This window comes from Homo sapiens, chromosome 5, assembly GCF_000001405.40.
Source record: "Homo sapiens chromosome 5, GRCh38.p14 Primary Assembly".
NCBI classification, from domain to species: domain Eukaryota; kingdom Metazoa; phylum Chordata; class Mammalia; order Primates; family Hominidae; genus Homo; species Homo sapiens.
Genome location: NC_000005.10, coordinates 177,026,965 through 177,044,339, shown reverse-complemented (window position 1 = coordinate 177,044,339; position 17,375 = coordinate 177,026,965). Strand labels below are relative to the sequence as shown.

Genomic DNA, 17,375 nt, shown 5'->3' with positions numbered 1-17,375 from the left:
AAATCTTCAATGGTTCCCCACTGCCCATAACAGAACAGGCATTTATGGCCCCCCTCACACATTAACCCCAACCTACTTTCTAGATTCTTCTCCAGCTACTTTGTCCCAGACTCTACTCACCATCCCCCACTTTATTCTCTGATGCTTCCTTGCTTTGCTTTGGCCATTCCTGCTGTCTAAAATGTGCTTCCTTCCTTTCCTGCTTGGCAGCGTGTCTGCTTAGCCTTCAAGACCCAATTTAAATATAAGCTTTTCCTCTGGGGGACTTTCTCTCAAAAAAAAAAAAACATCATTCAGTAAACAACTGTCAAGTCCCTTTGTGTATTCCAGGAAGAATTAACCCTGCTCCTCTTCTGTGCTCCCAGAGTACATTAAATAGACCTCTGTCATACCACTTGCCACCCTAAACTGACAGTGTCATAGCTTAGGAGACTTTTCTGTGAACTCAAGTGTGACATTGGAACACGGACTATTTGACTCATTTTTGTTTCTTATCCTTCACACCCAGCTGGAGTCTGGCACACAGTAGATGCTCAGAGTTTGCTGAACAAGTGGACCATTAGGTTTTTTTTTTTTAAGACAGGGTCTCACTCTGTTGCCCAGGCTGGAGTGCAGTGGCACGATCTCGGCTCACTGCAACCTCCACCTCCAGGGCTCAAGCAATTCTCCCACCCACCCCTGCAAGTAGCCAGACTACAGGAATATGCCACCACACCCGGCTAATTTTTGTATTTTTTATAGAGACGGGGTTTCACCATATTGCCTAGGGTGGTCTCGAATTCCCAAGCTCAAGCAATCCGCCTGCCTCAGCCACCTAAATTGCTAGGATTACAGGTATGAGCCACCGCACCCAGCCTCCCATTGCGTTCTACTTGTTGATTATGATTAGGCTAGGAAACCATGTATTTCAAGACTACATAAAGGGATCCCAGCATCTCTCTCAGAAAGCCTGATCTCTGAATAGGGTGCAAATATGTAAAATAACTTGCCCAGGGTCATAGAGTTTATCTTGCCTTTCTGAATTATAAATTGTGAGAAAAGGGCCAGGTGTGGTGGCTCATACCTGTAATCCTGGTACTTTGGGAGCCTGAGGTGGGAGGATCACTTGAGACCAGGAATTTGAGACCAGCCTGGGCAACAAAGCGAGACCCTGTCTCTACGAAAAATTTTTTAAAAAATCAGCCAGGCGGCTGGGCGCAGTGGCTCACACTTGTAATCCCAGCACTTTGGGAGGCTGAGGCAGGCAGATCACTTGAGATCAGAGGTTTGAGACCAGCCTGGCCAACCTGGTGAAACCCTATCTCTACTAAAAATACAAAAATTAGCTGGGTGTGGTGGCGCGTGCCTGTAGTCCCAGCTACTTCAGAGGCTGAGGCAGGGGAATCGCCTGAACCCAGGAGGTGGAGGTTGCAGTGAGCTGAGATCGTGCCACTGCACTCCAGTTAGCCAGGCGTGGTGGTGTGTGCCTGTAGTCCTAGCTACTTGGGAGGTTGAAGTGGGAGGATCACTTGAGCTTGGGAGGTTGAGGCTGCAGTGAGCCGTGACTGCACCACTGCACTCCAGCCTGGGTAACAGAGCCAGGTCCTGTCTCACAAATAGACAGATAGAGAAATAGAAAGGAGGGAAACCAGGGATAAATAAATAAATAATAAGGGAAACCAGGGGATGAGTCCAGTAAATTTTGAGAAGAGATAAACAAGGACCTTCCTGACCTGTGGCTACTATAATAGGAGGTAGCAGTCTATAGAGTAAACTCTTATTTATTGAGCATCTACTAGGAATTGAAATTTTACCTCACAATACCCTTAAGAAGTAGGCATTATCTCTACTTTATGGGGGAAGTTCACAGAGGTTAAGTGACTTGGCCAAACTCACCCGATCAGTAAGACACACAGCCAGCTTTGAGCCCTAGTCTGCTTAACTTCTCTTCCCATGATGAGATGGTACTCCTGAGGGATTGGGGGTTGCTTCAGCATAATGCTCATATTATTTCTGAGCCAAAAAGCACATGTGATCACCTCTCAATCACAGCAGACATTTGGAAAGGTGTTCCTTCTGCTTATTTATGCAAAACATTCAAGTGCTGAACTTAGTTCTTTTCCTTGGCCCTCAAGAAAGCAAGCAGCCTGGCTTCTTTCCATTTTCTCTTGTCTTGCTCTAACAAACCACTAGGCGGTAATATGTAATACCAGCTCCATTACTGAGTCCCTACTATGTGCCAGGCTCTGAATTGGGTGCTTTTTATAAATCTGCCCTCAATTTTAGTTCTAAAAAATCCTGAAAGGTAGTTGATATTACCATCCTCATTTTTATAGAGGAAGAAATCAAGGCTTTGTGAAGTAATAGACTTGCCCGAGTCACACAACAGGGCCAGGATTTGAAGCCAAGACAGTCTGACTTGTTCACCACACCAACCTGCTGGCTGGCTTCATCATGAAGCAAGTGGGCTCAATATGGCAGCTGTATTACCTGATCTGAGTCTAGCTTCTTCGTTTCCCCCTTTAATGTCTCCATTCCATGGATTGCTAGGTATCTCTTCACTTTGTTGGCATGTTTTTTGCTCTGCAAAAACCCAGGAGAAAGATCAAAGATAGCCAAATGCTACTTCATACTTAAGGCACTCAAAAACACTTATGAGATTTTCATCTGATTCATCCTCACAAAAAGTTTTGAGGAGGAGGTGAGGGAAGTTTGAGTTCCTGCTCTGTGCAAGGCATTTTACAGCTACCAAATTTAATCTTCACAATCTATGAGAAAATTATGACCATTTCTATTTTATGGATGAGGAAACTACATCTAAAAATGATGAAGTTTCTTGCTCAAGATGAGTAGCAGAGTTTTGATTTAAAGTCAGATCTATTTAAAGCCAAAGCTCATACTTTATGCTATGCCAAGCTGCAAGGGAAGATACACATATAATGATCCTGATTTGGATGGGGGAGATGAGACTCAAGGAGATTAAGTCAATCTTCAAGTCACAAGCCAACATGCATGGAGGCAACATCTGGGTGGCTAAGCAGCAATTACACTTCACCATGCAAGCCAGAGAGAATTAGTGGTTTGGCACCAGGTCTGAAAAGAAACGCAGTTCTAAAAGTATGATGGCATACCTGGTAATGTGCCAGCTTCTGGGACTCAGAAATAAGCAAGGCGCAGCAAACCTTACACTGGGTGTTGGTGAAGAGACATTGGTTCTTCTGGATCATGTGCTCCACTATAGAGGGGAAAACAAGAAATCATTGAGTTGACAAACACTACCTCAACAGCACTGCCTTTGAACCCTGCCTCAAACACAGGCACTGAATGATGGGATGCCATACTAGGACACTGGCAGACCTCAGCCAGCCTTTCCTACTGCCACCGTGACTCATGCTGTGTTCTCACACCACCTACACTATTACTTATTTTATAATTTTATGTATGCCAACTTTCTTTACTTAGGAACTTCTTTTAAAAAGGAATCTTTAGATCATAAACTTAAGCAGATACCAATAAAAATAAATATGATAAAAATGAGGCTTGGAGCATTCCCCAGGAAGAAGAGAACAGCAACTGTGCTGAGAGGTTTTAAGATATGGTAGCACCCAACTGAAACTTCTTCCCAGATAGAATCAGGAGGACTGAAAGACTCGAAAAAGGAATACTTTTCTCATTGTTCTTGATCTGACTTTGAAACATTTAAAATCACATAACAGGGTGGGGCGTGGTGGCTCACGCCTGTAATCCTAGCACTTTGGGAGGCCGAGGTGGGCAGATCACCTGAGATCAGGAGTTCGAGACCAGCCTGGCCAACATGGTGAAACCCTGTCTCTACTAAAAATACAAAAATTAGCCAGGTGTGGTGGCAGGCACCTATAATCCCAGCTACTCGGGAGGCTGAGGCAGGAGAATTGTTTGAACCCAGGAGGCAGAGGTTGTAGTGAGCTGAGGTTGTGCCACTAACTCCAACTTGGGTGACAGAGCTAGACTCTGTCTCTAAATAAATAAATAAAATAAAATCACATAACGTATTATATAAGTGCCACACTATATGAAACATGGTATTAACCTGTGCTTAAATTATTGTGCCTGGAGAACAGTCTTACCTTTTTGAGAAGAGAAGAGGAGGTAAAATCTCTCCCAAGGCATAAGTTCATTTTTGTTTGTTTTTTTTTTTTTTGAGAGGGAGTCTCGCTCTGTCACCCAGGCTGGAGTGCAGTGGCATGATGTCGGCTCACTGCAAGCTCCGCCTCCCAAGTTCACACCATTCTCCTGCCTCAGCCTCCCGAGTAGTTGGGATTACAGGCACCCACCACCACGCCCAACTAATTTTTTTGTATTTTTAGTAGAGACGGGGTTTCATCGTGTTAGCCAGGATGGTCTCGATCTCCTGACCTCGTGATCCACCCACCTTGGCCTTCCAAAGTGCTGGGATTACAGGCGTGAGCCACCGCGCCCGGCCAAGGCATGAGTTCTATCATGGCGCTGGCAATGTGAGGCAGAGGCAGAGGCAGAGTCTAAAACTGGGAGAGGAGGGCAGGCCCACATTTTTAATCTCCTGGTCTCAGCCAAAAAGTGGTCAAGGCTAGGCACAGTGGCTCACACCTGTAATCCCAGCATTTTGGGAGGCTGAGGTGGGAGGATGGGTTGAGCCCAGGAGTTTGAGACCAGCCTGGGCAAGATGGTGAGACTCTGTCTCTACATAGAAACAAACACACCAACAAACCAAAAACTAGCCGGGGGTGGTGGCACATGCCTGTGGTTCCAGCTTCATGGGAGGCTAAGGCTGAGACAGAGACAGAAGGATTGCTTGAGCTCAGGAGGTCAAGGCTATGGCAAGCCATGTTAGTGCCACTGTACTCCAGCCTGGATAACAGAGCAAGCCCCTGTCTTAAAAAAAAAAAAGTCGATGCCCTGGAAGAGGTTCTTGGTGGGGAGCTTTTAAGATGTCTCTCCTTAATCCACAAAATCTAAAGCTTACCTATGTCAGCCCTTTTAGGCAGAAGGGCTGTATTTCTGCCCCTAATGATCTCTTTTTATTTCTGCATTTTTCTTTTAAATGGTAAATTTTTGTGAAAGACCTTGCCTGTCTTAGCTATGCTCTGAAAAACCAAGAGAAATGACTCTATAAACAAAATTGGCCCAGAACTTTTAAAAGAGGGTCAGAGGTGGCCAGGCACGATTGGTAATGCCTGTAATCTTAGCACTTTGGGAGGCCAAGGTGGGTGGATCATCTGAGGTCAGGAGTTTGAGACCAGCCTGGCCAACATGGTAAAACCCCATCTCTACTAAAAATACAAAACTAGCCGGGTGTGGTGAAGCATGCCTGTAATCCCTGCTACTTGGGAGACAGAGGCAGGACAATCACTTGAACCTGGGAGGCAGAGGTTGCAGTGAGCCGAGATTGTGCCATTGCACTCCAGCCTGAGCAACAGCAAAACTCGGACACACACACACACACACACACACACACACACACACACAAGAAGAAGAAGAAAAAAGAAGAAAAAAAAGAGGGTCAGAGGCTTCTCACAATAAGAAACCCACATGGGGAAGGTAATACCCAGGGGTCAGAGTTCAGTCATCACTTCCTCACCTGGAGATTGTGGATTTTGTTTTGTTCAAGAGATGAGGTTTCAAGCATATTCAGAATCAGACTCCCAAACCCACAGCAAGGGCAGGTAAGCACCTGCTAAATAAATGTACCTCTCTGCTGGAATGCACTCTCTGGCCTTAGAGAGTACATTCACATAGTCCACACAAATATATTTATAATACGTGCTTTGTGTCAACACTGCACTTAGTGCTGGGGGCCATACCAACAAAGAAGATGGGGTATAAAGTAAAAAATAAGCAAGACAATGACAGAGAATTAGAAATGCTATGAAAACAAGCAGAGTACGGGGTAGAGAATGACGGGGCAGGAGAGTTAGTAAAGACCATCACAGGGCCGGTTGTGGTGGCTCACACCTATAATCCCAGAAACTCAACAGGCTGAGGCAAGAGGATTGCTTCAGCCCAGAAGTTTCAGACTGTCCTGGGCAACACAGGGAGAGCCACATCTCTACAAAAATTAAAAAACACACACACACAAAAAAAAAAAACGTAGTTGGGCATGGTGGCGCATGCCTGTAGTCTTAGCTATTCAGGAGGCTGAGGTGGGAGAATCCCTTGAGCCTAGAAGTTTGAAGCTTCAGTGAGCCGTGAATGTGCCACTGCACTCCAGCCTAGGCAACAGAGAAAGACTTTGACTCTGAAAATTTAAAAAAAAAAAAAAAAATCATCATGGGGAAGTGTCAGCCACAAGGCTTACAGGAAAAGAGTGTTCCAACCTGAAACAGTATTAAGTCTGTGAGGCAGGGATGAGTTTGGCATATTCCATGTTCAAAGAATGGAGAGAAGCCCACTATGCCTGGAATATGGTGAATGAGAGAAGAATGGTAGGAAATTAAGTTGGAGAGACAGCATGAGGCCTAGTAGATGATGTTGAATGAATATAAGGCTCCATAAGCCACAGTATGAACTACGGATTTTATTGTTAGTGTAATGAGAGGTGACAAGATCTGGTTTGCCCTTGAAAAGATTACTCTGACAGTTGTTGTCAACAGACTGTATGGGGACAAGAATGGAAGCAGAAAGAACAAGGAGAAGGCTGCTGTAGTCTTCAGAGAATAGATGATGGAAGCTTGGACTAGGCAGGTTGTCAGTGGAGATGGAGAAAAGTGAATGAATTTGGAATTATGTTCCGGCAATAGGTTTGACATCTGATTTCTTAGACTGGATGTGGGGGTGGGAGTGAAGGAAGGAAAGGAGTCAAGGATAACTCCTAGGTTTTGAACTTGAACAAGTGAATAGATTAGAACTAGGGGAAGATAGCCTTGGAGGAAAAATTAAAGACTTTTCGTTATGTGAGTGTGAGTAGTCTATCAGATATATAGGTGGAGATGAGTTGGAGATTCAGATCTGTCAGTCACTTGAAGCTCAAGGGGGAGGTCAGAGCTGGAGATATAAATGGGGAATCATTGGTATATCAATCATATTGAACACTGTGGGGCTGGAAGAGATTGCCTAGCGTAGATGAAGAAGGAAAGAGGTTCAGAGACTGAGCCTTGGGACCCTCCCAATTTTGAAGTCAGGCAGAGGAAGCGAAGTTGAATATAAAACAAAGTGAGTACAGGGTGGAACTTCTGGCCAAGGCAGAGTGAGGAGATCTCCTGCAGAAGCAACAATAAAACAGGACAAAACTGACAAAACCGGACAAAACTGACAAAACCAACCACTTCAGCACTCTGGAAGTTAACCAAAGGGACTTAACAATCCGAGAGCAATTTTGTGCTTGCAAAACTGCTGAACTTCAGGTAAGAACAGTAGGAATCAGCGGCTTTTTTTTTTCCCCAGATGGGGAAAAACAAACAAACAAACAAAACCTCAGGGTTTCCCAGGCTGCAGTGCCCACACTGGAGTGCAGTGGCATAATGTCAGCTCACTGTAGCCTCAATTTCCCAGGCTCAGGTGAGGCTGCTCTCAGCCCTTCCTGCAATCGGTGTAGAAACTCTGGCAAGAAGGTGCTAGCCATGAAAACAAATAGCTTCCATACAGAAGGAAGGAAATCACTTGATTTCCTTTACATGTAGCAATATTGTTGATGGAAATGATGATCTCCAAGGCAGTAAGCAGGAAGAGTGAAAGGCTTCACTGGCCGGAGGTGTGCTCATGGTTGGGGCAAGTGTGTTCCTGGCTGAGACTGTGTGACAGCGGAGACCTGAGAGGGCCCAAGTTAGCCACATACTCATGGCCACCCTGAGGCTGCGTACACACACAAAAGAGATGCAAAAGGACCTCGTGGGAAGGGTAGATCTCAAAATGACTTGAACTTTGATTATGCTTCCCTACCAACACACAGATCCAACAATACAAAATCAAGGGCTTATAGGCTCCAGGTGTTTAGAACAAGATCTTGTTGAATCCCTAGTTAATCTGACCACTAAGCAACATAAACACATTAAAGTAGAAATTATAAAAGGGAACCAAATTGGGAATGTTTGCTTTTAAAGCCTTTGCCCACCATGTAAGCAGTCTGACTGCTCTGAGGCCACCAAGCTGTGAGAAACCCCAGACTATTTCATGCATCAAGACCACATGGAGAGTTCCTGACACCACATGAAAAGAGAGATGTCTGGCCAGCCCCCAGAGGCTCCACCCCGCTGTTGTTTCAGCTCTAGCTCCCAGATGCTCCATTTCCCTGCTGTTTCAACTTGAGCCACCATCTGACTGCAACTGCATAAGAGACCCTGAATCAGAACTATCCAGCCAAGCCTTTCCCAAATTCCTGGCCCACAAAAACTGAGAGGTTTATGAGGTTGGAGGAAGCTAAGGCCCACAGAGGGAAAAAAAAAAAAAACTTGGATAAAATTGTCAATTAGGCCGGGTGCGGTAGCTCACGCCTGTAATACCAGCACTTTGGGAGGCAGAGGCGGGCGGATCACGAGGCCAGGAGTTCAAGACCAGCCTGGCCAACATAGTGAAACCCTGTCTCTACTAAAAATACAAAAAAGTTTAGCCCCAGGGCATGGTGGCAGGTGCCTGTGTCCCAGCTACTTGGGAGGCTGAGGCAGGAGAATCGATTGAACCCAGGAGGCGGAGGTTGCAGTGAGCCGAGATCATGCCACTGCACTCCAGCCTGCGCGACACAGTGAAACTGTCTCAAAAAAAAAAAAAAAAAAAAAAGTCAATTAGCCGGGTGTGATGGTAAGGCACTTGTAATTCCAGTTACTCGGGAGGCTGAGACAGGAGAACTGCTTGAACCCGGGAGGCGGAGGCTGCAGTCAGCCAAGATTGCGCCATTGCACTCCAGCCTGGGCAACAGGAGTAAAACTCTGTCTCAAAAAAAAAAAAAAATTGTCAAAATTCTGAGATGGCAGCCTGACTACACATCCTTTTTGCCATGATATCTGCACACAACTTTAATCCAACTACCAACTATCTCTCCAGGGTGCAAAAGATTTGATATGGAAAATGAGGTGCTTTTCATTCATTCACTGGAGAGGCAGGGCGTGGTGGCTCAGCCTGTAATCCCAACACTTGGGAAGGCCAAGGCAGGTAGATTGCTTGAGGCCAGGAGTTTGAGACCAGCCTCGCCAACATGGCAAACCCCCGTCTCCACCAAAAATAAAAAAATTAGGCAGGCATGGTGCTATGTGCCTATAATCCCAGCTACTTGGGAGGCTGAGGCACAAGAATCACTTGAACCCAGGAGGTGGAGGTTGCAGTGAGCCAAGATCGTGCCACTACACTTGAGCCTGGGCGACAGAGTAAGACTCCATCTCAAAAAAAAAAAAGAAAAGAAAAGAAAAGAAAAAGAAAATCACTAGAGAGGCTGAAAGTATGATACTAGGTTGGGCCTCCAGAAACATCTCCAGGAATAATGCATACATGTTCCAATAGGTGACCTACAGTCTCTGAGGCTCCTTCACAGCTCTGCTGGAAGCAAGATGCTTTGACTGTAACAACTTCTCTCTCAACCTATGAAGCTGGACAACGGATGCTGGAAAACTGATGTAGTTCCATGACCTTTTTTGACAGCAACAATAGCCAAGAGGCACAGAAGTATGGTCTTTACTGCATTTCTGCATTCTACATCCTATGAGATGTTACGTATTCACAGGATTTAATTTATATCCACATGATAGCCAAGTAAAAGATGTATGGGGCAGAGGCTGAGAGATGCCATCTAGAGTATGAAGCACAGGGCTGCTTTTCACAGGGTCGATGAAGTAGGAACACAGAGAACTTTTGTGGGACAGCAAGATAATTAATAAACTTAACAAATTTAAGGGTTGGGTGTGATGGTTCATGCCTATAATCCCAGCACTTTGGGAGGCTGAGGTGGAAGGACCGCTTGAGCCCAGGAGTTCAAGAACCAGCCTGGGCAACATAGTGGGACCCTGTCTTTACAAAAAACCAAAAAAGATTAGCTGAGTGTCGTGGTGCACACCTACAGTCCCAGCTACTTGGTAGGCTGAGGTGGGAGGATCGTTTGAACTTGAGCCCAGGAGGTCAAGGCTGCAGTGAAGTGAGCTGTGATCACACCACTGCACTTCAGCCTCCATCCTGGGTGACACTGCAAGACCTTGTCTCAAAATTAAAAAAAAAAAAAAGAAAGAAAGGAAATTTAAGCCAGGTGTGGTAGCCTGCATGCACTTGTAGTCCCAGCTATTCAGGAGGCTGAGGTGGGAGGATCATTTGAGCCAGGAGTTCGAGACCAGCTTAGACAACATGGTGAAACCCCATCTCTATAAAAAACTACAAAAAATTAGCTGGGTATGGTGGTGCACACTTGTTATCCCTGCTACTCAAGTGGCTGACGTGGGAGGATCACCTGAGTTTGGGAGCTCGAGGCTACAATGAGCCAGGATTGCACTGCTATGCTCCAGCCTTGGTGAGGGAGTGAGACCCTGTCTCAAAAATGACTTGCTATTCCTTAGGCCTACATGTGACCTTAGAATCTACAATTGAGCTCTGTATAAATTCATCAACTGGGCCAGGTGCGGTGGCTCACGCCTGTAATCCTAGCACTTTGGAAGGTCGAGGTGGGTGGATCACGAGGTCAGGAGATCGAGACCATCCTGGCTAACATGGTGAAACCCCATCTCTACTAAAAATACAAAAAATTAGCCATGTGTGGTGGCGGGTGCCTGTAGTCCCAGCCACTCAGGAGGCTGAGGCAGGAGAACGGCGTGAACCCAGGAGGCGGAGCTTGCAGTGAGCAGAGATCATGCCACTGCACTCCAGCCTGGGCTACAGAGTGAGACTCCATCTCAAAACAAAACAAAAACAAAAACAAAACAAAACAAAACAAAAAAATTCGTCAACTGACTGAAGGTGATCCTTAGGAAGATGAAACCTATTTACTACCCAGCTTATTAGGAGGCAAAGGGTTTTTAGGTATAGCTATAGTCAGAAAGCAGAAAATAAAAGATCCTAGGGCTGGGTCAGTGGCCCACGCCTGTAATCTGACACTCTGGGAGACTGAGGCTAGAGGATTGCTTGATGCCAGGAGTTTGAGACCAACACAGGCAGCAAAGTGAGACCTCATCTTTACAAAAAAAATTAAAAAATTATCCAGGTGTGGTGGCACACGCCTGTAGTGCTGGTTACTAGGGAAGCTGACATGGGGGAAATCACTTGAGTCTAGCAGTTCGAGGCTCTGGTGAGCCATAATTGCGCCACTGCACTTCAGCTGGGTGACAGAGCAAGATCCCCCATCTCAAAAGCAAAAACCCCTCAAACAATCATAGGAAAGGGAGGTTGGGTATAATCTACCCATGGATGAGAATGGTTAGACAATGTAGTATTTTAATGGGCAGTATGGCCTAAAAGAATGAACAAGACGGTCCTATTAAGTCTACTTAGCACTGGTACTTCCATTTTGTGAGTCCATACTGTGTTTTTGTTTTTAATTTAATTTTTTAGAGTCAGAGTCTCATTATGTTGCCTAGGCTGAATTCAGACTCCTGGCCTCAAGTGATCCTTCTGCATCAGCCTCTCAAGCAGCTGGGACTACAGGTGTGGGCCACCATGCCTGGCCAAATCCATACTGCTGATGGTCTCAAGAAGCTCAAATTTCTATCCAATGAAAAGGGCATGAAGAGGCCGGGCATGGTGGCTCACACCTGTAATGTCAGCATTTTGGGAGGCCGAGGCGGGCGGATCACCTGAGGTCAGGAGTTTGAGACCAGGCTGGCCAACGTGGTAAAACCCCATCTCTATTAAAAAGTGCAAAAATTAGCCAGGTGTGGTAGAGGGCTGGTAATCCCAGCTAACTCAGCAGGCTGAGGCAGGAGAATCGCTTGAACCCAGGAGGTGGAGGTTGCAGTGAACTGAGATTGTGCCATTGCACTCCAGCCTGGGTGACAAGGGCGAAACTCTGTCTCAAAAAAAAAAAGCTGCGTGCAGTGGCTCATGCTTGTAATCCCAGCATGCCAAGACTGCGCCACTGCACTCTAGCCTGGTGACAGAGCAAGACTCTGTCTAAAAACAAAAACAAAAACAAAAAAAGGCTGGGTGCAGTGGCTCACGCCTGTAATCCCAGCACTTTAGGAGGCCAAGGTGGGTGGATTACCTGAGGTCAGGAGGTCAAAACCAGCCTGACCAACATAGTGAAACTCCATCTGTACTAAAAACACAAAAAATTAGCCAGGTGTGGTGGCGCATACCTATAATCCCAGTTACTCGGGAGGCTGAGGCAGGAGAATTGCTTGGATCTGGAGGCAGAGGTTGCAGTGAGCTGAGATTGTGCCATTGCACTCCTGGGCAACAAGAGTGAAAATCCATCTCAAAAAAAAAAAAAAAAAAAAAAAAAAGAAAAAAGAAAAGGCATGAAGAAAGCAAATGTAAGGGTACTGATGATCTGCTACTAATAAAACAAACAAATGGAAATTCTGGAGTTGAAATTATAATACAATAAATTTGCTGGAGGAGCTCAACAGCAAGTTCAAAATGGCAGAAGAATCAGTGAACTTGAAGATACAGCAATAGAAATAGCTGATCTGAAGAACAAAGAGAAATAACATTGAAGAATAATGAACAAAGCTTCAGAGATTATGGAAAAACTTCAAGCATACTAACATATGTGTAAGGAGAGCCTCAGAAGAAGAGAGAAGAGAGAGAGAGTAGAAAAAAATATTTGAAGAAAATGTCCAAAAACCTCCCATATTTGATGAAAAACATTAATCTACACATTCCAAAATCTCAAGGAACCCAAACTAGGAAAAATGTGAAGAGAGCTACACCTAGACACATCACAAACTGTTGAAAGGCAAAGACAGAAAATCCTGAAAGCGGTGAGAGAGAGAGAAAAATGACTCATCATGTACAGTGAAATAATTCAATTAATGACAACTTCTTATTTGAAAACAATTAAGGCCAGAAGGCACTGGAATGACATATTCAAAGTGGTGAAAAAGAATAAAAATGTCAACTAAGAATTCTATATCCAGCCAAATGATCCTGCAAACATTACACTAAGTGTCCAGGCGCAGTGGCTCATGCCTGTAATCCCAGCACTTTGGGAGGCCAAGGCGGCAGATCACCTGAGGTTGAGAGTTTGAGACTAGCCTTGCCAACATGGAGAAACCCTGTCTCTACTAAAAATACAAAATTAGCTGGCTGTGGGGCGCATGCCTGTAATCCCAGCTACTCGGGAGGCTGAGGCAGGAGAATGGCGTGAACCCAGGAGGCGGAGCATGCAGTGAGCCGAGATCGCGCCACTGCACTCCAGCCTGGGCGACAGAGCGAGACTCTGTCTCAAAACAAAATAAAACAGAAAAAAGAGAATCGCTTGAACTCTACAGGCAGAGGGTGCAGTGAGCCTAGATCATGCCATTGCACTCCAGCCTGGGCAACAAGAGCAAAATGTCGTCTCAAAAAAAAACCAAAAAAAAAAAAAAAAAAAATTACACTAAGCGAAAGAAGCCAGTCACAAAAATGCCACATATTTATACAATTCTATTTACATGAAATGTCCAGAATAGGCATCAATCCATAAAGAGAGGAGATAAGTCGTTGCCAGGGATGATTGCTCCTAGGTATAGGGTTTCTTTATTGGGGTGATGAAAATGTTCTAAAATTAGACAGTGGTGATGGTTGCAGAACTCTGTGAATATACTAAAAACCACAGAATTGTACATTTTAAACAGGTGAATTTTATGGAATGTGAGATTTACGTCAATAAAGCTGTTATTTAAAAATGAAATAGCCAGGCATGGTGGCTCACGCCTATAATCCCAGCACTTTGGGAGGCTGAGGCGGGCGGATCACGAGGTCAGGAAATCGAGACCATCCTGGCTAACACGGTGAAACCCCATGGCACGGCACCACCATGCCCGGCTAATTTTTGTATTTTAGTAGAGATGGGGGTTTCACCATATTGGCCATGCTGGTCTTGAACTCCTGCCCTCAAATGATCCACCCGCCTCGGCCTCCCAGTGCTGGGATTACAGGCGTGAGCCACCGCCCCCAGCCCAGTTGCACTACATTTAAAAGGACTGAACTCATCTCAAGTATATTCTTTGAACGCAATGGAATTTAATCAGAAATCAACAATAGGAAGAAATCTGGGAAATCCTCAAATATTTAGAAATTGAATAACATGTATCAAAGAAGAAATTTTACAAGGGAAATTAGAAATTATTTTGAACTGATTTAAGTGAAAATAAAACATTCAAAAATTTATGAGTTGCAACTAAAGCAGTGCTCTGGAGAAAAAAAACTCAGTTTATCCTACTTTACTTTTACAATACAGAACGCTTCTGTGACCATATGTGTGGGTTTTCTCCTCCCAGAAACCAAGCACTCAATTCTGCAGTGGACACCAGTTGGTGTCCCCTAATTCAAATCAATTCTGACACTATCTACCTGGAGACAGCTTCAGATCCTACAGGTTGAGGGCTTATTCCTACAAGACTGAGCCCTACTTCTGATGCCAATTGCAGGTTCCACATTCTTTCACCTGTTTTTCTGACCAACCGGCTATAAATCGAGGTTTCCATGACACCCCTGGATTCAATTAATTTGCTAGAGCAGCTCACAGAACTCAGGGAAAAACCAGGGGAGAAGTAACACGCAAGACCCAGCAAGCGTGTGAATGTGTAAGATCCCAAGTCAAAGGTCAAACCGCCTACTTGTCTCTCTCAAGTCGCCATCTTGGTCCTCTTCCAAGTATACTTTACTTCTTTTCATTCCTGCCCTAAAACTTTTTAATAAACTTTCACTCTTGCTCTAAGAGTTGCCTTGGTCTCTCACTTTGCCTTATGCCCCTTTGGTTGAATTCTTTCTTCTGAGGAGGCAGAAATTGAGATTCATGGCCACTAACATTCTTGCCTTGGCCTCTCAAAGTTTTGGAATTACAGGCAGGAGCCACTGGGTCAGGCCAACCTAAAAGATATGTTAAAGGATACAAATAGATAAAGAGATACATACGGCCAGGTCTGGAAGGGTCTAATGTGTAGGAGCGTCTATCCCCATGGAATTGGGGTGTGCCACACTTCCAGCACATGAATGTGTTCTTGTTCACCTTCCTGGAAGCCCCTAAACTGAGGTCTTTGGGTTGTTATGAAGGCTTCATTACATAGGCATGGTTGATTAAATCACTGGCTATCGGTGATCAATTCAACCTTCAGCTCCTTTCTACCCTCTCAAGATGGGGGGCTGTAACTTCCAAGCCTCTGAGCACATGGTTGGTTCCTATGGCAACCAGCCAACCAGAATGTGGTAATCTAGGGACTTCTCAAAAATCACCCTATTAACATGTACCAAGGTGTGGCTGAAAGGGGCTTGTTATATGGCCGGGTGCGGTGGCTCACGCCTGTAATCCCAGCACTTTGGGAGGCCGAGGAGGGCAGATTACGAGGTCAGGAAATCGAGATCAGCCTGGCTAACATGGTGAAACCCCGTCTCTACTAAAAATACAAAAAATTAGCCAGGTGTGGTGGTGGGCGCCTATAGTCCCAGCTACTTGGGAGGCTGGGGCAGGAGAATGGCATGAACCTGGGAGGCGGAGCTTGCAGTGAGCCGAGATCGCACCACTGCACTCCAGCCTGGGCAACAGAGCGAGACTCCATCTCATAAAAAAAAAAAAAAAAAAAAAAAAAAAAGAAAGGGGCTTGTTATAAATAACAAAAGTCTGTTTTTCACCTTTCTTGCTCTGGAGCAGTTCCAGAGGTGTTTCAGGAAGCAAGGACAAAAGGCCAAATATTTTAACAGAAGATACTCTTACTGCTTTAGTCACTGAGGAAAGTACAAGGGTTATAGAAGCTGTGAGCCAGGAACTATGGAGGGAAATATATATATATATATATATATATAAAACGTCACAAGTGCTTAAGAGAGAAATTTATAATTTTAAACATCTACATCAGAAAAGAAGGATCTCAAATCACTCAAATCAGCAACATAAGATCTTACCTTAGAAACTAGAAAAGATCAAGAAAATGACAAATTCTTAGCTAGACTAACCAAGAAAATAATCAGGGACCTCACATCTGTAATCCCAGTGCTTTGGGAAAGCAGAGGCGGACAGATCACTTTAGAGTTCGAGGAGTTCAAGACCAGCCTGGCCAACACAGTGAAACCCCGTCTCTACTAAAAATACAAAAAAGTTAGCCGGGCATGGTGACACATGCCTGTAATCCCAGCTACTCGGGAGGCTGGGGCAGGAGAATTGCTTGAACCTGGGAGGCGAAGGCTGCAGTGATCATTACTGCACTCCAGCCTGGCAAGACCCCGTCTCAAAAAAAAAAAAAAAAAAAAAAAAAAAAAAAAGTGACACAAGGAGAAACAAAATATTCTGTGTACACTTAAAACAAGTAAAGAAAATGAATAATCAAATACCTTTCCACAAAGAAAAGCCGAAGCCAGCTGGGTGCCATGGCGCATGCTTGCCTATAATCCTAACCCTTTGGGAGGCTGAGGCAGGAGGATCACTAGAGGCCAGGAGTTTCAGACCAGCCTGGGCAACAGAGCAAGACCCTCTATTTAAAAAAACACAAAAATTAGCTGGGCATGGTGGTATGCCCTTGCAGTCCTAGCTTTGAGTTTGAAGGAGTCTGAGGCTGCAGTGAGCTATGATTGTGCCACTGCACTCTAGCCTGGGCAACAGAGACCCTGTCTCTAAATAAATAAATAGAGAATTTAAAAAAAAAAAAAGGAAAGGAAGAAAGAAAAGCTTAGGCCCAGGTAGCTTCACTGGTGATAACTTTTTTTTTTTTTTTTTTTTGAGACAAAGTCTCAACTGTGTTGCCTAGACTGGAGTGCAGTGGCACAATCTCGGCTCACTGCAACCTTAGCCTCCTGGGTTCAAGCGATTCTCGTGCCTCAGCCACCTGAGTAGCTGGGATTACAGATGTGAGCCACCACACCTGGCTAATGTTTGTATTTTTACAAAAACACAAATTTTACAAAAATTTACAGGGTTTCTCCACGTTGCCCAGGCAGGTCAGAAAATAACTTTTATCGGCTGGGCGTGATGGCTCACCCCTGTAATCCCAGCACTTTGGGAGGCTGAGGCGGATCACCTGAGGTCAGGAGTTTGAGACCAGCCTGACCAACATGGTGAAACTCCGTCTCTACGAAAAATACAAAAATTAGCTGGGTGTGCTGGCAGGCGCCTGTAATCCCAGCTACCTGAGAGGCTGAGGCACGAGAATCGCTTGAACCCGGGAGGCAAAGGTTGCAGTGAGCCGAGATCACACCACTGCACTCCAGTCTGGGCGGAAGAGTGAGTCTCTGTCTGAAAAAAAAGAAGATAACTTTTATCTAAAGAATCCAAGTTTTTTTAAATGATCAGGGCCCAGAGAGATATTAAAATGAGATAGCAATCACTTCCTATTCTCCCTTTT

General features: G+C 45.0%; 1 protein-coding gene across 27 annotated transcripts in view, besides 1 other annotated feature; it reads right to left on the bottom strand.

The window, feature by feature from the left end:
• ZNF346 (zinc finger protein 346) overlaps window positions 1–17,375 on the bottom strand; it is a 58,494-nt gene that overhangs the window by 36,850 nt on the left and 4,269 nt on the right. For 22 of the 27 annotated variants that reach the window (NR_131773.2, NR_131774.2, XM_011534494.2 and 19 more), the window contains 2 exons: window positions 3,111–3,214; window positions 2,470–2,562 (listed from right to left, as the gene is read on the bottom strand). The exons of 3 other annotated variants lie outside the window; for them this stretch is intronic. Coding sequence is in view for 22 of the 24 variants with exons in the window: in XM_011534494.2 (XP_011532796.1) it covers window positions 2,470–2,562; window positions 3,111–3,214 (197 nt within the window). In the remaining 2 variants the exon portion in view is untranslated. Of the gene's footprint in view, window positions 1–120; window positions 614–2,469; window positions 2,563–3,110; window positions 3,215–17,375 lie in introns of those variants that run through there. 2 more of the 27 variants (NM_001308214.2, XM_017009303.2) reach the window with 2 other exon arrangements.
• Window positions 5,601–5,650: a silencer, noted in NCBI's record as "silent region_16670". NCBI's record gives its function as "represses an Ori minimal core promoter by ATAC-STARR-seq in GM12878 lymphoblastoid cells {active_cell/tissue: GM12878}" and the evidence as "EXISTENCE:reporter gene assay evidence [ECO:0000049][PMID:35858748]".